Raw genomic sequence first — 23227 nt, forward strand, 5'->3', positions numbered from 1 at the left:
TCAATTTCAGAACCTGTTATTGGTCTATTCAGAGGTTCAACCTTTCCTGGTTTAGTCTTGGGAGGGTGTATGTGTCCAGGAATTTATCCATTGCTTCTAGATTTTCTAGCTTATTTGTGTAGAGGTGTTTATAGTATTCTCTGATGGTAGTTTGTATTTCTGTGGGGTCAGTGGTGATATCCCCTTTATCATTTTTTATTGCGTCTATTTGATTATTCTCTCTTTACTTCTTTATTAGTCTTGCTAGCGGTCATTTTTGTTGATCTTTTCAAAAAACCAGCTCCTGGAATCATTGAGTTTTTGAAGGGTTTTTTATATCTTTACCTCCTTCAGTTCTGCTCTGATCTTAGTTATTTCTTGCCTTCTGCTAGCTTTTGAATTTGTTTGCTCTTGTTTCTCTAGTTCTTTTAATGGTGATGTTAGGGTGTTGATTTTAGATCTTTCCTGCTTTCTCTTGTGGGCATTTAGTGCTATAAATTTCCCTCTACACACTGCTTTAAATGTTTCCCAGAGATTCTGGTACGTTGTATCTTTGTTCTCGTTGGTTTTAAAGAACAACTTTATTTCAGTCTTCATTTCATTATTTACCCAGTAGTCATTCAAGAGCAGGTTGTTCAGTTTCCATGTATTTGTGTGGTTTTGAGTGAATTTATTAATCCTGATTTGCACTGTGGTCTGAGAGACAGTTTGTTGTGATTTCTGTTCTTTTACATTTGCTGAGGAGTGTTTTCTACCAATTATGTGGTCAATTTTAGAATAAGTGCGATGTGGTGCTGAGAAGAATGTATATTCTATTCATTTGGGGTGTAGAGTTCTGTAGATGATTAGTAGGTCTGCTTGGTCCAGAGCTAGTTCAAGTCCTGGATATCCTTGTTAACTTTCTGTCTCATTGATCTGTCCAATATTGACAGTGGGGTGTTAAAGGCTGCCATTATTATTGTGTGGGAGTCTATGTCTCTTTGTAGGTCTCTAAGGCCTTGGCTTTATGAATCTGGGTGCTCCTGTATTGGGTGCATATATATTTAGGATAGTTAGCTCTTCTTGGTGAATTGATCCCTTTACCATTATGTAGTGGCCTTCTTTGTCTCTTTTGATCTTTGTTGGTTTAATGTCTGTTTTATCAGAAACTAGAATTGCAACCCCTTTTTTTTTTGCTTTCCATTTGCTTGGTAGATCTTCCTCTGTCCCTTTATTTTGAGCCTATGTGCATCTTTGCATGTGAGATAGGTCTCCTGAATATAGCACACCGATGGGTCTTGACTCTTTATCCAATTTGCCAGTCTGTGTTTTTTAATTGGGGCATTTAGCCCATTTTCATTTAAGGCTAATAGTGTTATGTTTGAATTTGATCCTGTCATTATGATGTTAGCTGGTTATTTTGCCCGTTAACTGATGCAGTTTCTTCATAGCATCGATGGTCTTTACCATTTGGTATGTTTTTGCAGTGGCTGGTACCGGTTGTTCCTTTCCATGTTTAGTGCTTCCTTCAGGAGCTCTTGTAAGGCAGGCCTGGTGGCGACAAAATCTGTCAGCATTTGCTTGTCTATAAACTATTTTATTTCTTCTTCACTTACAAAGCTTAGTTTGGCTGGATATGAGATTCTGGGTTGAAAATTATTTTCTTTAAGAATGTTGAATATTGGCCCCCATTCTTTTAAGGCTCGTAGGGTTTCTGCTGAGACATCCGCTGATAGTTGGATAGGCTTCCCTTTGTGGGTAACCTGACCTTTCTCTCTGGCTGCCCTTAACATTTTTTTCCTTCGTTTCAACCTTGGTGAATCTGACGATTATGTGTCTTGGGGTTGCACTTTTCAAGGAGTATTTTTGTGGTGTTCTCTGTATTTCCTGAATTTGAATGTTGGCCTGTCTTGCTAGTTTAGGGAAGTCCTCGTGGACAATATCCTGAAGAGTGTTTTCTAACTTGATTCCATTCTCCCCGTCACTTTCAGGTACACCAATCAAACGTAGATTTGGTGTTTTCACATAGTCCCATATTTCTTGGAGGCTTTGTTTGTTTCTTTTCACTTTTTTCTCTAATCTTGTCTTCTTTTTTTCATTAATCTGATCTTCAATCACTGATATAGTTTCTTTCCACTTGATCGAATCAGCTATTGAAGCTTGTGCATGCGTCACGAAGTTCTTGTGCCGTGGTTTTCAGCTCCATCATGTCATTTAAGGTCTTCTCTACACTGTTTATTCTAGTTAGCCATTCATCTAATCTTTTTTCAAGGTTTTTACCTTCCTCGAGATGGGTTAGAACATCTTAGCTTGGAGAAGTTTGTTATTACTGACCTTCTGAAACCTACTTCTGTTAACTCATCAAACTCATTCTCTGTCCAGTTTTGTTCCCTTGCTGGCAAGGAGCTGTGATCCTTTGGAGGAGAAGAGGCAGTCTGTTTTTTGGAATTTTCAGCTTTTCTGCTCTGGTTTCTCCCATCTTTGTGGTTTTATCTACCTTTTGTCTTTGATGGGGTTTTGGTGTGGATGTCCTTTTTGTTGATGTTGATGCTATTCCTTTCTGTTTGTGTGTTTTCCTTCCAACAGTCAGACCCCTCAGCTGCAGGTGTGTTGGAGTTTGCTGGAGGTCCACTCCAGACCCTGTTTTCTTGAGTATCACCAGCAGAGGCTGCAGAACCACAAATATTGCTGCCTGATCCTTCCTCTGGAAGCTTCGTCCCAGGTGGGGCACCCACCACCTGTTTGAGGTGTTTGTCGGCCGCTACTGGGAGGTCTTTCCCAGTCAGGCTACATGGGTGTCAGGGACCCACTTGAGGAGGCAGTCTGTCCAGTGTCGAAGCTCGAATGCCATGTTCAGAGCACCACTGCTCTCTTCAGAGCTGTCAGACAGGGACGTTTAAGTCTGCAGAAGCTGCTGCGTTTTGTTCTACTATGCCCTGCCCCCAGAGGTGGAATCTATAGAGGCAGTAGCCCTTACTGAGCTGCGGTGGGCTCCTCCAGTTTGTGCTTCCAGTTCTCTTTGTTTACACTGTGAGCTACTCAAGCCTCAGCAATGGCAGACATTCCTCCCCTCATCAGGCTGCAGTGTCGCAGGTCAATCTCAGACTGCTGCGCTAGCAGTGAGCAAGGTTCTGTGAGCGTGGGACCTGCCAAGCCATGCACAGGAGGGTATCTCCTGGTCTGCTGGTTGTTAAGACTGTGGGAAAAGTGCAGTATTTGGTCAGGAGTGTACTGTTTCTCCAGGTACAGTCTGTCACGGCTTCCCTTGGCTAGGAAAGGGAAATCCCCCAAGTCCTTGCGCTTCCGGGTGAGGCGATGCCCCGCCCTCCGTGGGCTGCACTCACTGTCCAGCCAGTCCCAGTGAGATGAACCAGGTATCTCAGTTGGAAATGCAGAAATCACCTGTCTTCTGCATCTATCTCGCTGGAGCTGCACACCAGAGCTGTTCCTATTCAGCCATCTTGGACAAGATTTTTTTTTACTTAAAATTTTTTTAAATTAAAAACTTAAGACATATCTAAAAAAATGTTAAGAATTTTTAAATGATGGGTGAAAAATAACATCTTGTTTTAATTTGCATTTCTTGGTTCTTGGTTTTTAGTTGTTTTTGTTTTTGCTTTTTTGAGACCGGGTCTCACTCTGTTGCCCAGGCTGGAGTGCAGTGGTGCAACCACGGCACACTGCAGCCTCAACCTCCTGGGCTCAGGTGATTCTCCCACCTCAGCCTCCCAGGTAGCTGGAACTACAGGCACCTGCCACCACACCCAGCTATTTTTTTGTGTGTGAATTTTTTGTAGAGACAGGGTTTTGCCATGTTGGCAAGTCTTTTCTCCAACTCCTGGGCTTAAGCGATCCTCCTGCCTCAGCTTCCCAAAGTGCTAGGATTACAGGTGTGACCCACCATGCCCGGCCAATTTACATTTCTTTAATTATCAGTGAATCTGAACTTTTTTTGATCTACATTTATTTATTCATGTGCTTTGTCTATTTTTCTGTTAGGTTTCTAAAATATTTTTCTTAGTGATTTTTGAGAGCTCATTATGAATTAAAGCCCTTTTAATATGAAGTGAACAGTTTTTTCCAGGTTCTTTTGTTTTGTCAGTTTTAAGCTTGTTATACTACTGGATATAGATTACTTTTTATAACTTTTAATTACATGAGTAGTGTATGAATATACTTTTGTAGAATTTCAAACATTACAAAAGTATATAGAGTAAAAGATTAGTTTTATTTTTAACTCATTACCCAAGTTAATCACTGTTAATAGTTTAGGGTTTCTTTTTAAATCTATTTTTGTACATCAACATCTTTTTTTAAAAAGTTTTATTTTAGATTTGGGGGTACAGGTGAAGGTTTGTTACATAAGTAAACGTGTCACAGGGATTTGTTGTACATAACTATTTCATCACCCAGGTATTAAGCCTAGTACCCAATAGTTACCTTTTCTGCTCTTCTTCCTACTCCCACCCTCCCCGGTCAAGTATACCCCAGTGTCTGTTGTTTCCTTCTTTGTGTTCATTAGTTCTTACCATTTAGCCCCCACTTATAAGTGAGAACATGCGGTATTTGGGACGTTCCTGCTGAAGACATGCGCTCGTTCTTTTTTATGGCTACGTAGTATTCCACGGTGTATATGTACCACATTTTCTTTATCCAGTCTGTCATTGATGGGCATTTAGGTTGATTCCTTGTCTTTGCTATTGTGAGCAGTGCTGCAGTGAACATTCATGTGCATATATCTTTATGGCAGAATGATTTATATTTCTCTGGGTATATACCCAGTAATGGGATTGCTGGGTTGAATGGTAGTTCTGCTTTTAGGTCTTTGAGGAATCGCCATACTGCTTCCCACAATGGTGGAACTAAATTACACTCCCACGAACAGCATATAAGTGTTCCCTTTTCTCTACAACCTCACCAGCATCTATTATTTTTTGACTTTTTAATAATAGCCATTCTGACTGGTGTGAAATGGTATCTCACTGCCGTTTTGATTTGCATTTCTCTAATGATCAGTGATACTGAGCTTTTCTTCTGTATGTTTTTTGGCCACATATATGTCTTCTTTTGAAAAGTGTCTGTTCACGTGCTTTGCCCACTTTTTAATGGAGTTGTTTTTCTCTTGTAAATTTTTTTAAGTTCCTGTAAATGCTAAATATTAGGCCTTTGTCAGATGCATAGTTTGCAAAAATGTTCTCCCATTCTGTAAGTTGTCTGTTTACTCTGTTGATAGCTTCTTTTGCTGTGCAGAAGCTCTTCAATTTACTTCAATCGTACTTGTCAATTTTTGCTTGTGTTGCGATTGTTTTTGATGTCTTTGTCATGAAATCTTTGTCTGTTATTATGTCCAGAGTGATATTGCCTAGGTTGTCTTCCAGGGTTTTTATAGTTTTGGGTTTTACATGCAAATCTTTAATCCATCTTGAGTTGATTTTTGTGTATGGTGTAAGGAAGGGATCCAGTTTCAATCTTCTGCATATGGCTAGCCAGTTATCCCAGCACCATTTATTTAATAGGGAATCTTTTTCCCATTGCTTGTTTTTGTCAGTTCTGTGGAAGATCAGATGGTCATAGATGTGCAGCCTTATTTCTAGGCTCTCTATTCTGTTCCATTGGTGTATATGCCTGTTTTTGTACCAGTACCATGCTGTTTTGGTTAGCGTAGCCTTGTAGTAGAGTTTGAAGTCAGGTAATGTGATGCCTCCAGCTTTGTTCTTTTTGCGTAAGATTTTCTTGACTATTCAGGCTCTTTTTGGCTCCATATGAATTTTAAAATAGTTTTTTCTAGTTCTGTGAAGAATGTCGTTGGTAGTTTGATAGGAATAGCATTGAATCTGTAAATAGCTTTGGGCAGTATAGCCATTTTAATGATATTGATTCTTCCATCCATGAGCATGGGATGTTTTTCCATTTGTTTGTGTCTTCTCTGATTTCTTTGAGCTGTGTTTTATAATTCTCATTGCAGAGATGTTTCACCTCCCTGGTTAGCTGTATTCCTAGGTATTTTATTCTTTTTGTAGTAATTTTGACTGGGATTGCCTCTCTGATTTGACTCTCAGTTTGGCTGTTGTTGGTGTATAGGAATGCTAGTGATTTTTGTATATTGATTTTGTATCCTGCAACTTTGGTGAAGTTGTTTATCATCTGGAGCAGCTTTTAGGCCAAGACTGTGGGGTTTTCTAAATATAGAATCATGTTGTCTGTGGACAGAGATAGTTTGACTTCCTCTCTTCCTATTTGGATGCCCTCTGTTTCTTTCTCTTATCTGATTGCTTTGCCTAGGACCATCAACATACTTTTATGTGTAATTATACATGTAGTTTGGTGTTTTCTCTTTTCTTAAAAATGATATTATGCTGTACATATTTTTCTGCAACTTTTTCCACTTACACTCTTAGATTGTAGTTGTGTTTAGATTTATTCTCATACTTTCTAATGATGACTTAAGTATATACCATACCTTATTTAACTATTCTCCTATCAGAGGTCATTTATATGTTCAGACGTTTTATATTAATAGGTAGTTGGATGTATTGATCTTTTCCCTAATGGCTATGACTTTGGTGTCTTTCTTACTAAAACTTTAGGTCTTCTGTATGCTGAAATTGTATGAAGATTTCAACCATGTGTTCTGACTTTGGTCTTTGCACTTAAATCATTAGTAAATCTGAAATTTATTCTGGTGTATATAATGAGATATATGGTTCCACCTCGCCCCACCCCAGCAACCACCATCCAATAGCTAAATAGCACCATTTTTTGAATAAGTTGTCTTCTCCCCAACTGATTTGAAATGTCAATTTGTATCATACATTGCATTCATAGGTGTTCCATCCTCTTTTCTCCTTTGAACTTTGTCCATTCTTCTATTCTTGTAGCAAAAGCAAGTCTTTTTTTTTTTTTTTTTTTACTGTAGTACTATATGTTTTAATAACTGCCGGGAACACTTCCTTTTCAGAAATTTCTAAGGAACTCTATGTTATTTTTTCCAAATAAACTTTTTATCTTATCATTTTGACCATTTTAAGTTTACAATTCAGTGGCATTCAGTACACTGACATTGTTATGTAACCATCAGTACCATCCATCTCTAGAATATTATAATCATCCCACACTGAATCTCTACTCATTAAACAGTAACTCTCCATTCCTCCCTATCCCCATCACCTGATGATAACCACTATCTACTTTTTGTCTCATGAATTTGCCTATTCTAGGTAAATTTATATAATTATAATAAGTGGAGTCCACTTATATGGCATCCCACTATTTGTCCTTTTGTGTGTGGCTTATTTTACTTAGCATAATGTTTTTAAGGTTCATCTAGATCTATCTTGTGACATGAATCAGAACTTCATTCCTTTTTATGGCTGAATAATAGTTCGTTATATGTATATACTATATTTCATTTATTCATTCATCTGTTGCTAGACACTTGGGTTGGTTTGTTTTTACCTTTTGGCTATTTTGAGTAATGCTGTTATAAACATAGGTGTACACATATCTGTTTGAGTTCCCGTATTCAGTTCTTTTAGGTATATACCTGGGAGTAGAATTGCTAGATCATAAGGGAATTCTATTTTTAATATTTTGAGGAACTGGCATACTGTATTCCACAGTGGCTGCACCATTTTACATTCCCACCAGCAGTGGGAACCTTTAACAAAGGTTCCAATTTTTCCACATCTCCACCAACACTTATTAAATTGTTTTTTTAGTAATAGCCAAGTGTCTTAGTCTGTTTTGTATGTGATAACAGAATACCACAGACTGAGTAACTTATAATGAACAGAAATTTATTTCTTAGAGTTCTGGAGGCTGAGAAGTCTAATATCAAGGCATGGGCATCTGTGAGGGCCCTCTTGCTTTGTCATAATATGATGGAAGGCATCACATGGTGGAAAGGAAAAGAGACGGTGAGAGAGAGAGTAAGAGGGACAAAACCATGCCCTAAATAACAAACACACCCCTGCAATAACGACATTAGTCCATTCATGAGGACAGAGCCATAATGACCCAAACACCTCTTAAAGGCGCCACCCCAATAACATTACATTGACAATTAAATTTCATCATGAGTTTTGAAGGGGACATTCAAACCATAGACCGTCCTAATAGATATGAAGTAGATATGCATACTAGATATGCATTTCCCTAAAAATTAGAAATGTGTTGAGAATCTTTTCATGTGCTTATTGGTCATTTGTATATCTTCTTTAGAGAAACATCTTTTTAAGTCTTTTGCCCATTTTCAAGTTGGGTTGACATTTGTTACTGAGTTTTAAGAGTTATTTATATGTTCTGGATATTACTTCCTTATCAAATATATGATTTACAAATATTTCCTCTCATTCTGTGGGTTGCCTTTTCACTCTGTTGATAGTGTCATTTGATGCACAAAATTTGCTTTTAATTGATGAAATATAATTTTTTTCTTGTCTTGCCTGGGCTTTTAGAGTCACATCCAATAAATCATAGCCAGATCAAATGTCAAGAAGCATTTCCTCTGTTTTCTTCTGAGAGTTTTATAGTTTTACCTCTTATGTTTAGGTCTCTGATCTATTTTGAGTTTGTGTTTGTATATGATAAGGGTCCAGCTTCACTTTTTTTGCATGTGGATATCCAGTTTTACCAGCACCATTTGTAGAAGAGACTCCCTTTCCCCATTTGACTGTTCCTTGTCACGCTTGTTGAAAACCGTTTGACCATATATGCAGGGGTTTATTTCCGAGGTCTCTGTTCTATTCCATTGGTCTGTATGTCTGCCTTTTTGTCATTACCATTGTTTTGATTATTATAGTTTTGGAATCAGAAAGTGTGAGCCTTCTCAACTTTGCTCTTTGTTTCTAGGATTGTTTTGGCTATTTGTGGTCCCTTGAGATTTCATATGTATTTTGGAATGGATTTTTCTATTTCAGAAAAAAAAAACCAAAAAATACCATCATCAGGATTTTCATAGGGGTTGCACTAAATCTGAAGATTGCTTTGTATAGTATTGACAGTTTAAAAATACTAAATTTTTCCAATCCATAAACACAAGTGTCTTTCCATTTATTTTATATCTTTAATTTTTTTTAGCAGTTTTGTAGTTTTCAGTGTACAAGTCTTTCACCTCCTTAGTTTATTCCTAAGTATTTTATTCTTTTTGATGCTATTACAAATGATATTGTTTTCTTAATTTCCTTTTCAGATTATTCATTGTTAGTGTATAGAAATACAACTGAGTTTTGTATGTTGATTTTGTAACCTGCCACTTAACTGAATTCATTTATTAGTTCTAAGAGATTTTTGCATGTGTGTGTATATGTGGGATCCTTAGGGTTTTCTAAATAAAAGATCATGTCATCTGCAAACAGAGCGAATTTTATTTCTTCCTTTCTAATTTGAATTTCTTTTTCTTACCTAATTGCTCTGATTAGAACTTTCAGTCCTATGTCAGATAGAAGTGGCAAACATGGACACCCTGTCTTGTTCCTGATCTTAGGGAAAAAGCCTTCATTCATTTAACATTGAGTATGATGTTAGCTGTGGGTTTTTAATATATGGCCTTTATTATGTTGAGGAAGTTTCCTTCCATTTCAGGTCAACTCTAAAGCATTTATTTTTATTAATCCCTCTTTTTTTTTTTTTTTTTTTTTTTTTTGAGACAGAGTCTCGCTGTGTTGCCAGACTGGAGTGCAGTGGCTGTGTCTCGGCTCACTGCAACCTCCGCCTCCCGGGTTCAAGCGATTCTCCTGCCTCAGCCTCCCAAGTAGCTGGGATTACAGGCACGCACTACCACACCCAGCTAATTTTTGTTTTTTTTTTTTTTAGTAGAGACGGGGTGTCACCATGTTGGCCAGGATGGTCTCGAACTCCTGACCTCGTGATCCGCCTGCCTCGGCCTCCCAAAGTGCTGGGATTACAGGCGTGAGCCACTGTGCCCGGCTAATCCCTCTATCTTTTAATTTTAATTAGAATCACATTGGATTTATAGACTAATTTTGAGAAAATAGTACAGATAAATTTGCATGTTGAACCACAGAATGTTGTCACAGAAAATGTGAGTGGGGAGGAAGAAGAAAGATTATGACATTAAATGTAAGTTTATAAATTTTTATGATACTACTTTGAGAAACATTAATATAGTTTATAAGGAAAATTATATTTTAAGGGATTTTCTACAAAGGTGAAAAAAAATCACCCTATGAGTTTAAAGGATTTTAAGCTTTATATTTAATTCTTTCCTTCTTTTATTAATTTAATCTATATTTCTTCTTTTTTCCTAGGATATCCTAAACCTGAGGAAGGAATACTTGACAGTTTGGGTTGGTATAGCTATCATGACAAATATAAGTGGTAGTATGTGTAGAAACGTGTAGGTAATTAGTTTTTATGAGGTGCCCAAACATAGGATCCTTGGTAGGGTAAGATAACTTTCTTAAATGCTGTGTTTGTATGTAGGTTAAAATATATAAAACACAATTTTCTTTCCACATTATATTGTTATTTTGTGATGGTAATCTGTCGATAAATTTTCTTTCTATTCATATCTTATATACATGAACCTTAAAGCAATCTAAGTTGGGTTTATTTTTTCTGTAACACGCTGATTTAACACACTTGATGTAGGCTTACGCAGTTTACACAATGCATGTTAAAAAAAAAGATGAAGTGCAGTTGTGATATAGGCCAATGAAAAATAAAGATTTCTTAATAAGTAAAAACAAAAATCTATTACCTTTCATTTCTTAGACTAGTTTGGTAATGGTTAATCATTTTATATAATGCACCTTAGGCTTGTTTTTTAGTATTTGCCTTACCTCCAAAATCTGTGGTCCAAGTAAATCTGTTGCCATCTTAAACTGTTAAACACTTGATAACTGTTTATGAGATGAGAAGAGCAGAGTTGAACATAGCACTTTATGCTTTGACTTATAGCAATTTAATAAAAGTAATGGCAGTTTAGAAGCAAAGGTACTAGGGACAGAAACAGTTCTAAAAATTAAGATTTTATAGGATTATTTTGTGTTCTCTAGATAGTCAAAAATGTATTCTCAAATTTCTCTGTATATTTTTTATCCATGTGCCCTGGTGTTTCATTTATTATGGGAATCCTATTGGTATTTAGGACTATGTCTTAATTTTGGGGCAGGGCAGAGTATGGAAGTAGAGAGGATGGGAAGGGGATTGATAAGATAAAGTATTGTTTGTGAAGACTTTGTAAATACCATCTGGGCAATAGAATAATAGAAATTTATTTATGACTCACTCTACAGATCACTTTTGGAGGAAAAAATACAAATTAAATGTCTACCAAAATAAGAAATGACAGAATGACTGTTGAACTAAACCAACTCTCATGGGATAATACTTTTCAAAAATCATTTTCCTTTACTATAGTGAATTCTAATTACTCTAATAACTTTACCGCTAAATAACCTGATGTGGTAGCTATAGAGAAAAACAGTGAAAAATGAGGTTCCCATTAAGAGTTTCACAAGTGGAACCCTTAACCTGGAAACTGGTTAGAAGGGTTCTATGATCAAAATGACCTGGATGCCCTAGCAGTCATGCTAAAACTATATAAAAAATTTTTTTTTCCTCTGTAGTCTTGTATTAGTCCATTCTCAATGCTGTTGTAAGGAACAGTCTGAGACCGGGTAATTTATAAAGGAAAGAGATTTAACTGACTCAGTTCTGCAGGGCTGAGGAGGCCCCAGGAAACTTATAATCATGGAGGAAGGGGAAGCAAACACATTCTTCTTCACATGATGGCAGGAAGGAGAAGTATGAGAACCAAGTGAAGGAGGAAGCCGCTTATAAAACCATCAGATCTCGTGAGAACTTACTATCATGAGAATAGCATGGGGGAAACTGCCTCCATGATTCAATTACCTCTCATGGGGTCCCTCCCACAACACGTGGGGATTATGGGAATTGCGATTCAAGATGAGATTTGGGTGGGGACACAGCCAAACCATATCAAGTGTTTAGATGATCTGATTGAAATAAATGCTATCTGGAGATCCATGTGTTCAACATCTTGGAACTGTTTTCTTTCTCAGATGTTTGGGTCATTGCTGTGATTGTTATTGCCATAGGTAAGTATCACAAATTTTGACACCACTTAAGTCAAAAAATTATTGTGAAGACATGCATTTTAAAAATAGTTTTTCAGTTTCTATAGTTTTTTCAGCTTGTAAATTGGTTAAACCGATTTAGGAAAACCTGACTTTTTATTTGATATACTTAACTACCTACCTTGTGTTAGTGATTTTATACTCTGTTATATTCTGTATATCTACTTAGTAACAAAGCCTAAGTAATACATATTTTCTCAAGATGATCAGTAATATTAGTTGGCTTCCCAAATGTGCTTTTGATAGTTTTCTAAATTAAGCAAGGACTTTTCTCTGACTTACTATGGACTGTGTAAGTGATTATGGGGAGTTGGATTTAGATAGCAAAGAGTCTGGATGGAATATAAATGTGTAGGTGCTTAAATAACATTTGACCACTGAAATGTAACCAACATTTATTTCTTCTGCTAGATGTTGAATCTTGGTGATTAGTTTTCAGAATTATATGTCATTTGTTTCCTGGTTTCTTATAGTTGTTGGAGTTGCAGTAATTTGTGTTGTCCCGTACAGATATCTTCAAAGGAGGAAGAAGAAAGGGTAAATTAAAGCATGTTTCTTTTAACTTCTTGGTCCTTCTTATACTTAACATGCTTTTGTGCAGCTTCAGTTTGTAATCTGTATTGCATGCTATCTTTTTTTTTTTTTTAAAAAAATGCCTGCATTAGTTTGTCCTACCAATTGCATTTCTTTGCTAAAAATATTTTCAGCTACTTCTAACATCACTGCAACATAAAAACATCTGTGCAGAGTTCCTACAGCTATTATGACTTTAAGAAAAATTTCTTTTGGATTTGAGGTTTAAGTTATTTAGCAAATCATGGACCACTCACTATGAGGCCTTCTCTACCCTATTCCCTATTTCCAAAATTGCACTAATGGCCAAAATTAAATTTAAAGTATTTCACTGTGGAGACTTTGACAGTTGTATTCACTGGAATTTTTATAATGAAAGTTTCCACTTGTCTATATAGCTTAGCTAGTTGCAAGAAGCTATGTAGGCATATCATTTAAATACCCAATTTGGTGTCTTTTCATTTAAAGTTGTTATTTATACATGTTAAACTGGGGGATTCAAAACAACACTATCCGATTTCCCTCTTATGTTCTCTGAATTTACCAGATTGCAGTAAAACTGATAGGGTTAAAGTTAAAATTGCTGAGAGGGGTTAGATCTATAAGGTACCTCAATTAACTGTGTCTTTTAATATATAAAAATGTAAAAAGTGAGTGGGTTTAGAATAGAAGAAAAATGTACAAGTACATATCTTCTAAAGAAAATAGGGTTTTAAAACATCAAACTCAAATTTTAGTTAAAGAGCTTACAGTTTAACAAAAGACTTAGAATGAATCCTGGAACACAGACTAAGATTAGGTGCTTTGAAATTTCTGAAAGATAATATACATTCATTTTTACTGATTTTTAAAAACTGTTTTCCCCTATAGTTTTAGAAATAGCTTTGAAATCAAACCTAATAATTTTAAGACTTTTGGTACTCATGGTTTTATGATATATATTCCTTTTATACTGATCATCAGGTTTGGGCTAAGTCATAAAAGTACAAGCTTTACTCATAAGGAACTCAAACTTTTTTCATATTACTTGGTTATCTTTTGAAATACCCATAATCCCTTCACTTGAATCTTAAATCTTGTATTAATGGAACACGATATGCATATTTGATTTATCTATCAGTTGTATATTCTAAAAGTTACATATCTACAACGTGAGTACAAAATATTATCAATGGAATATTTTTACAAATCCATAAGGTTTGCGTAGAAACAAGTTCTAAAGAAAACAAAACAAAGTCGCATTCTGCTTATTTTCCTTCTTTGTTTAAAATATCACTGCATCAGAATTTTTAAAGGTTCATTAACAAGTATTAATCAAACTCTCTCTAGCTAGCAGTTAATGGTTTTTCTGTTGTTGTTTTTTGCTTTTTTGTGATGGAGTCTTGCTCTGTCACCCAGGCTGGAGTGCAATGGCGCAATCTTGGCTCGCTGCAACCTTGGCCTCCTGGGTTCAAGGGATTCTCTGCCTCAGCCTCACGAGTAGCTGGGATTACAGTCGTGCACCACCACCACCGGCTAATTTGTTGTACCTGTACTAGAGATGGGGTTTCACCATGTTGGTCAGGCTGGTCTTGAACTCCTGACCTCAGGTAATCCGCCCACCTCGGCCTCCCAAGGTGCTAGGATTACAGGCATGAGCCACCGCGCCCGGCCTTAATGGGTCTTTTAAAGCTCAACAGTTATCTGACTGTTACACTCCCAAATGAAAGGTTCAATAGCAGTAGTGAACTGAGATTCCAAAATTAATTTGTCCAGTGATTTTTTTTTAAAGCCCATATTTTACAGCATAGGGTCCAACTGACAGTTGCCATTATTAAAATTTTAAAATATTTTGGGAAGGTATGATATCTTTAGCCAATGCAACATAATTAATCCTGCAAATAGTAGCACAACTTGAGGAAAAATAGTCCAGAAAATGGTGTGAGAGACGAAACTCCTAATTGCCTTTGAACTTTAAAATATAAACTGCGTGGGAATCTTTTAGAATAGATGTTACCCTTTTTATGACAGGAACATACTCGATTGGAAATTCAGCATATGTAATGGCTGAATCCAAAGCTAGGCTCTCTTTATGGATCTATTATTTTGTAGTTCCATGTTATTTTGATAGCTGAACTGAATGTGAGGGTGGTTTATCTTTCTTCTTCAGAGTCTAGAGGAATGTTTCTCTGACTTTAATGTGCACATTAGTCACCTGGAAATCTGTTAAAGTACAGATTCTGATTCATTGGGTTTGGGGTGGAGCCTGAGACCCTGCCTGTCTAGTGAGCTCCCAGTGCTGATGCTGCTGCTGTGCCTGGGCTACACTGACCAGGGTGTTGCCCACTACTGATGTGCCTATATTGTTGAAGTCTGAAGAAACACTATGAAGCTTATTGGCAAATTTTTCTAATATTTAAGATAATTGAAGTTTTTAAGATTCCTCATCCATGTGTATCCTTAAAAAAAGGCTATGGGGTAATAAATAGTACTTGGCTTTTCTTACCTTCTTTAACTCTTAAAAAACAAAGATTTCCAGCCGGGCCTGGTGGCTCACGCCTGTAATCCCAGCACTTTGGGAGGCCGAGGCGGGCAGATCACGAGGTCAGGAGATCAAGACCATCCTGGCTAACACGGTGAAACCCCGTCTCTACTAAAAATACAAAAAAAAAAAAAAAAAAATAGTGGCGGGCGCCTGTAGTCCCAGCTACTCTGGGAGGCTGAGGCAGGAGAATGGCGTGAACCCCGGAGGCGGAGCTTGCAGTGAGCGAGATTGCGCCACTGCACTCCAGCCTGGGTGACGGAGTGAGACTCCATCTCAAAAACAAAAAACACAAAAAAACCCCAAAGATTTCCATTATTTTCTTTGCACTGTTTAATGTCCATAATCTTGTCCCCCCAGATTGGCTGTTGTGGCCTTAGAAACTTCTTATAAAGACTATAAAATGTCTGGAGGCACTTCTCCACTTCCGGGGGTAACTGGAAGCAGGCTAGCAGGCACAAATAATCTCAAATTGTTGTTAAAGCCTGGCACAAAATGTATTTCTTGTAAACTGGTATTTATGGTGATTTGGGAACGTAATTACTCTTCTGCAGCCTTCATCTCAAAATACAAAAATAGTGTAAGGAGTCATTTTAAGATCATCCAACATCATTTACATTACTTGATAAAAAGTGGGCAAAAGGTTAAAGTATTCTGCCACTTTTCTGTTTCATAGCTCTCAGCTGAGAACAGTATAGGATACCAGTGGGTCCGAAACAGGTCCCATCCACATGCTCCCTCCTTTTCCCTTCCCATTTCCTTTCTTTACTAATTCTTCTACCATACTTTTTAGTCTTGGAAGCCACAGCCCTGTCTTTGCTACTGCTTCAGTCCTGTATTGCATGGCATGACTGTGCTTCTGAACAACAGATGCCTTTTGTTTACATAAATATTTAAGTAATGGTTTTTTTTAAATGCATGATTATTTTTTAACTCTAGTTAAGCATCCCTGGATAAGTGACAGTTTGGCTAAGTTAGTGAAAGTTATTTACATAATTTATATATTTATTACCTGTGACAAATAGTTTTTCCTTTTTTCCATTAATGGTATTTATTATTTTGTATAACCTAAACTGACTTTTAATGTTACATTAATATTGACTGACCCAATTACTTTATTAAAAATAGTGGTCAGTTCAGGTAATTGGGGCATATAGTGACATGGGGCAAAAAAAGGATCAAATTAACTTAAATGTTTTTCTAGTTGGCCCTTAAATTCTTGAGCATTTAACCCTTCAAAAATTTTTGAGCAACTACAAAAATGTTTTGTAATTAGTTTAGAAAGCATCCTTACAAAATTAGATCCATCTCAGAAATATGAGACGCCATGTAATACAAAGTTTTGCAACGATGTCTCCTCAGGTTGAAAACAGATGTGCCACAGGAAGACACTTCTTAATGTAAAAGTCCAGAGACATCTGAAAATACATGATGTCATAAAGTTGATTTCTAGATAATATTACATGGATTTGATACATACTCAATGTATTCCCTCAAAATTGAGGGTGTTAGGCCGGGTTTGGTGGCTCACGCCTGTAATCCCAGCAACTTTGTGAGGCCGAGGCAGGCCGATGGCTTGAGCTCAGGAGTTTGAGATCAGCCTGGGCAACATAGTGAGATGCTGTGTCTTGAAAAAAAAAAAAAAAAAAAAAAAAAAAATCAAGAGTGCTAGAGACCGGTACCATTTCTCCCCAACAATCTGTTATTCCTTGAAAACATTTTGACATGAATCACTTCATGCAAAATGGCTTCAAAGATAAACATATTAAACAGGAATTTCCAGTCTGTTTATCTGCTGGATGATCTATATGACTTCAAAGTTCAAGTAGCTTCTAGCACAAAATTCATGTTTCCAGTCCTTCAGTGAGAATGAGAAAGTCTTAAGTTATGAACCTAATTCTCAGCTTTCCTGCTACTCTCTTACACTGGATTTTATCCCACTTGTTATGCTACTCGTTTCTTTTTGGTTTGAAGTCACTATTTTATTCAGCCGTTTTCTCTTCCTCTGTTCAGCACATACCTAACTGATGAGACCCACAGAGAAGTAAAATTTACTTCTCTCTGAGAAGGAGAGATGAGAGAAAGGTTTGCTTTTATCATTAAAAGGTATCTGTTTTCTGTTGTTTATTTTCAGATGTCCTTTCTTTTGAAAAATATTCAGTGGATATATAGATATCAATAACCTGAGCAAAGAGATATTGGCAGTAAATATCAAAGAGGAAATTTACATTCCTGTTCCCTTTGCTAAATTATTGATGTGTTCTTATACCATTCCCTTTGAAAACATAATGTGTACTGACAGGCTTTGACGTAGGCTTTAAATAGAGTTATGTTCCCCTAGTCCTTTTATCAGACGATCTCACTTCTACCTTGTAAAACAGCTGTGAATCCAAAAGTAAGAATTTGTGAGCCAACTGGGAAATAACCACAGAATCAACTCATTTTAAGTGCAAGGAGGAAAAATGCCCTTTTATAGAAACCAAAATATATTTTACTTAGTTTTGTAAATTTATTCAATTCCAACGTATAAATAACTCTGTAAAGACATTTTATCAGTTTCCCTGGGCTGGGATATTTTTAGCATATCAAAGGAAAACAAAAAAGTCCTCAGATTTTGAAAAGTAATGGATTGCATTGCCTTAAACCCTTGGACCCTGTCCACCTTCTGTCTTTGAACTGAACTGGAATTATTCCTCTGTTTGTGCTAGAATGTGTGTCCGCAGAGCTGGGAAGAGATGGAGATACATATCCCACCTCTTATAATGTGAGGCCCTAACCTAGGTTATAATTAAAAGTTTGGGAGCAGGATCTACAAAGGCCAGCTGGAAGGACAATTTCTTAGTAAAAGCAAAGTGATGTCTTTGGTTACAGGAGGAAAGGGAAAGACAAAACATACCAACCAGAATTGGCGGTCTGGGCCTACCCAGTCCTATATACAGTAGTTCCTTCTTATCCACGGGGGATACATTCCAAAACCTCTAGTGGTTGCCTGAAACCTGGGAGAGTACTAAACCTTATATATACTGTTTTCTCTTAAGCATGTATACCTATGATCATTCAATTTATAAATTAGGCACAGTAGGAGATTAACAGCAATAACTAATAACTAATAATATCAATTATAAAAATATGCCAGCATCACTACTCTTGTGCTCTGAGGCCACTAAGTAAAATAAGGGTTACCTAACCACAGGTACTGTGATACCGTGACAGTCAATCTGATAACCAAGACAGCTATTGAGTAACAGGCACATAGTGTCCACAGCATGGGTATGCTGGACGAAGGGATGATTTATATCCCGGGAGGGATGGAGTGGGACAGTGTGAGATTTCATCATGATACTCAGAATGGCACACAATCTAAAACGTAGTTCTGTAATTTTCCATTTAATATTTTTGACCGTATTTGACTATGGGTAACTGAAACCGTGCAAAGTGAAACCGTGGATAAGGGAAGCCTACTATATCTTCTTAGTCTCTTAGGACACTTTTGAGACTAAAGCCAACTAGGAAAATAGTTTTTAGACTCTCTCTGAGCTTCAGGGTATCTGTAAACATTTGAAGATAATTTAATGAATGCTGTAGTTAATATTTTGCCATCTTCAAAATAGCTTCATTGTTATATCCAATAAATGTTTCTTTAAATTTATGTTAATGCCTTTTATCTTTGGCATAGATTGGATTTTTATTTAAAACTTTATTTAAAGAAAGAGATTCTACTACTATGGGAAAAAAATATTTACTTAGAAAAATATAGTGGTGGCCAGTCCTGGTGGCTCACACCTATAATCCCAGCACTTTGGGAGGCCGAGGCGGGCGGATCACTTAAGGTTTGAGACCAGGTTGGCCAAAATGGTGAAACCCTGTTTCTACTAAAAATACAAACATTAGCTGGGCATGGTGGTGCACACCTGTAATCCTAGCTACTCAGGAGGCTGAGGCACAAGAATTGCTTGAACCTGGGAGGAGGAGGTTGCAAGTGAGCCAAGATCACACCACACTGCACTCCAGCCTGGGTGACAGAGCAAGACTCTGTCTCAAAGGAAAAAAAATAAAGAAAAGAAAAGAAAAATATAGTGGTCTTGGAGAATTCAGTGACAGGCCAAACCATTAAGTCTGTCATCACAACAGTCCTTAGGGAACTGCAATATTATAAGTATAGTAATGACGCAGTAGAGAACCATAATGATGGCCTCCCCGGCAAAGAAGAACCAACCCGTTTACGCCTGAGGTTGCAATTTTTTGAATTTTTGCAGTCAGACCCTGGCGATGACCTTGAGCAGTAGGAGATAAATTCCACATGCTTAGCGTTCCAGTAATGGAACACTAGGCATAAATGGGTTATTAAAGTATCCAGAATTAACATGCTTAGCTGTGACATTGGAAAGGCAATGTGTTTGCTGTGGCACACATACTAGTAAATAATGACTGGTCCGAATTTGGTTTTCGTTTGTCTATTAAAGTCAATTTACTAAGGCAGGGAGGGCCCAGAGCTGTGCTGTCCAGTTCAATAGCCATGCGTGACTGCTAAGGACTTCCAAAGTGGCTAGTCCAATGTCAGGTATGCTGCAAGTGTCAAACACACACTGGATTTCAAAGACTAAGCCAAAAAAATGTAAAATACATCTCAATATTTTGGTTATACTCGGTTAAAGAAAATAAAATTATTTTTGCCTTTTTATGTTTTTAAAAGTGGCTTCTGGAAAATTTTAAATTACATGTATGACTGGCATCATCTGTCTTTGGCCAGCACTAGACTAGAATAATAGGTTTTATAAAGATGTCTATTGTTATACTAAAAGTGTGACGTAAACTTTAGTTATTTAGGAGACTCTTAGTGGAATACATGATTTTCTTGACAGTGAGGGGTAGATGAGGCATCACATACTTGAACAGTTAGAACCACTATCTTTTTAAAGGTTCTGTGCCAGAGCTACAGCTTTAAAATGGAGGGATCAGGAAAGCATGCGTTTGTCTCCAGTCTTTCCCATTGGCCCTACATCAAAATGAGGACATAGTTACTAAGTACTTTGTGTGCTACTGCTCTATTTCTTGTTTTGGAGGGGATCAAAAATATAAGACAGGGATAAAGGAAGGTTTTTTTTACAGTGAGACCAGTTGAACATTTGAAATTATTTTAAAAGAATAATTTATTTCCCAGGTTGGTGGCTCATTACTATATTTTTTTAATTGTTCATTTTCTGAATAGGCTTCTGGAATTTAATTTCTGTACTTAATTATATTTATCTTTGACATGATCTTTATACCTTGGTTTGCAGGAAAGCAGATGGTGGAGCTGAATATGCCACTTACCAGACTAAATCAACCACTCCAGCAGAGCAGAGAGGCTGAATAGATTCCACAACCTGGTTTGCCAGTTCATCTTTTGACTCTATTAAAATCTTCAATAGTTGTTATTCTGTAGTTTCACTCTCATGAGTGCAACTGTGGCTTAGCTAATATTGCAATGTGGCTTGAATGTAGGTAGCATCCTTTGATGCTTCTTTGAAACTTGTATGAATTTGGGTATGAACAGATTGCCTGCTTTCCCTTAAATAACACTTAGATTTATTGGACCAGTCAGCACAGCATGCCTGGTTGTATTAAAGCAGGGATATGCTGTATTTTATAAAATTGGCAAAATTAGAGAAATATAGTTCACAATGAAATTATATTTTCTTTGTAAAGAAAGTGGCTTGAAATCTTTTTTGTTCAAAGATTAATGCCAACTCTTAAGATTATTCTTTCACCAACTATAGAATGTATTTTATATATCGTTCATTGTAAAAAGCCCTTAAAAATATGTGTATACTACTTTGGCTCTTGTGCATAAAAACAAGAACACTGAAAATTGGGAATATGCACAAACTTGGCTTCTTTAACCAAGAATATTATTGGAAAATTCTCTAAAAGTTAATAGGGTAAATTCTCTATTTTTTGTAATGTGTTCGGTGATTTCAGAAAGCTAGAAAGTGTATGTGTGGCATTTGTTTTCACTTTTTAAAACATCCCTAACTGATCGAATATATCAGTAATTTCAGAATCAGATGCATCCTTTCATAAGAAGTGAGAGGACTCTGACAGCCATAACAGGAGTGCCACTTCATGGTGCGAAGTGAACACTGTAGTCTTGTTGTTTTCCCAAAGAGAACTCCGTATGTTCTCTTAGGTTGAGTAACCCACTCTGAATTCTGGTTACATGTGTTTTTCTCTCCCTCCTTAAATAAAGAGAGGGGTTAAACATGCCCTCTAAAAGTAGGTGGTTTTGAAGAGAATAAATTCATCAGATAACCTCAAGTCACATGAGAATCTTAGTCCATTTACATTGCCTTGGCTAGTAAAAGCCATCTATGTATATGTCTTACCTCATCTCCTAAAAGGCAGAGTACAAAGTAAGCCATGTATCTCAGGAAGGTAACTTCATTTTGTCTATTTGCTGTTGATTGTACCAAGGGATGGAAGAAGTAAATATAGCTCAGGTAGCACTTTATACTCAGGCAGATCTCAGCCCTCTACTGAGTCCCTTAGCCAAGCAGTTTCTTTCAAAGAAGCCAGCAGGCGAAAAGCAGGGACTGCCACTGCATTTCATATCACACTGTTAAAAGTTGTGTTTTGAAATTTTATGTTTAGTTGCACAAATTGGGCCAAAGAAACATTGCCTTGAGGAAGATATGATTGGAAAATCAAGAGTGTAGAAGAATAAATACTGTTTTACTGTCCAAAGACATGTTTATAGTGCTCTGTAAATGTTCCTTTCCTTTGTAGTCTCTGGCAAGATGCTTTAGGAAGATAAAAGTTTGAGGAGAACAAACAGGAATTCTGAATTAAGCACAGAGTTGAAGTTTATACCCGTTTCACATGCTTTTCAAGAATGTCGCAATTACTAAGAAGCAGATAATGGTGTTTTTTAGAAACCTAATTGAAGTATATTCAACCAAATACTTTAATGTATAAAATAAATATTATACAATATACTTGTATAGCAGTTTCTGCTTCACATTTGATTTTTTCAAATTTAATATTTATATTAGAGATCTATATATGTATAAATATGTATTTTGTCAAATTTGTTACTTAAATATATAGAGACCAGTTTTCTCTGGAAGTTTGTTTAAATGACAGAAGCGTATATGAATTCAAGAAAATTTAAGCTGCAAAAATGTATTTGCTATAAAATGAGAAGTCTCACTGATAGAGGTTCTTTATTGCTCATTTTTTAAAAAATGGACTCTTGAAATCTGTTAAAATAAAATTGTACATTTGGAGATGTTTCATGATGATGTGTTTATTTCTAGTGGGTTTTGTCTCAAATTGAAGTATGTTTCTAATTGGGCCCATCTTCTAACCATTCCACTCCCACAGCCATTCCTCCTGTCCCTCCTAGCTCAGACCCTTAAGTATCCCCAGGCTTCTCCACTCCCAACCCATCACATAGATACTGCACAGATATCCAGTGACATCACATTACCTACTGGATGAAGTCCACATTTCTTAGCCTGATACTTGAAGACCTTTTACAATTAAATCCCAACTTTCTTCCCCAAGCATTTTCTATTGCACTTCTTCAAATAACCTACTCTCAGTCAAGCCTGACCATTTCCCCTGTGCTTTCTGCTGTATTCCTAGTTCATTGTTGCTTGAAACACCTACTGTCCTGTTGAGATCCTATGCATCTTCCAAGGCCCAGCTCAGATATTACCCTTCATGAAACTGTGCCTGATTTCTGCCCAGCTCTTATAGTCTTTATTATTACCTAACCTTGGGATAGCCACATTTAAGCATCTATATATACGTGTCCAGTAGAAGATATATCTTCTGCATCCTATGATCGCATATGTAGAGCTAAATAAAAACCCAAGTCCTAACAAAGTATAAAATTTATGTAACTAGTAGGATTTGGTTGTTTCTGCAAAAATCATTGTTGCTCTCTCTGCAGATTTGAATTAAGTCGGATTGCTAAATTTCTCAGAGCAGGCTTCAGTGTTTCTCAACCATGGCTGCACATTGCAATCACCGGGGGATATTTACAGACACCTGGGTCCCACCCCTAGAG

The 23227-nt window shown here is 36.8% G+C and overlaps 1 protein-coding gene across 17 annotated transcripts in view; it reads left to right on the forward strand.

Moving 5' to 3' along the window:
• The window catches only part of CD46 (CD46 molecule), a 43479-nt gene extending 21028 nt beyond the window's left edge, over window positions 1-22451 (forward strand). For 5 of the 17 annotated variants that reach the window (NM_172359.3, NM_153826.4, NM_172356.3 and 2 more), the window contains 4 exons: window positions 10227-10265; window positions 12006-12041; window positions 12554-12617; window positions 20454-22439. In NM_172359.3, coding sequence (NP_758869.1) covers window positions 10227-10265; window positions 12006-12041; window positions 12554-12617; window positions 20454-20526 — 212 coding nt within the window. In that variant the 3' untranslated portion in view covers window positions 20527-22439. Of the gene's footprint in view, window positions 1-10226; window positions 10266-12005; window positions 12042-12553; window positions 12618-17187; window positions 17297-20453 lie in introns of those variants that run through there. The other 12 variants (NM_172351.3, NM_172355.3, NM_172352.3 and 9 more) reach the window with 6 other exon arrangements.

Source organism: Homo sapiens, chromosome 1 (assembly GCF_000001405.40).
Source record: "Homo sapiens chromosome 1, GRCh38.p14 Primary Assembly".
Lineage (NCBI taxonomy): Eukaryota > Metazoa > Chordata > Mammalia > Primates > Hominidae > Homo > Homo sapiens.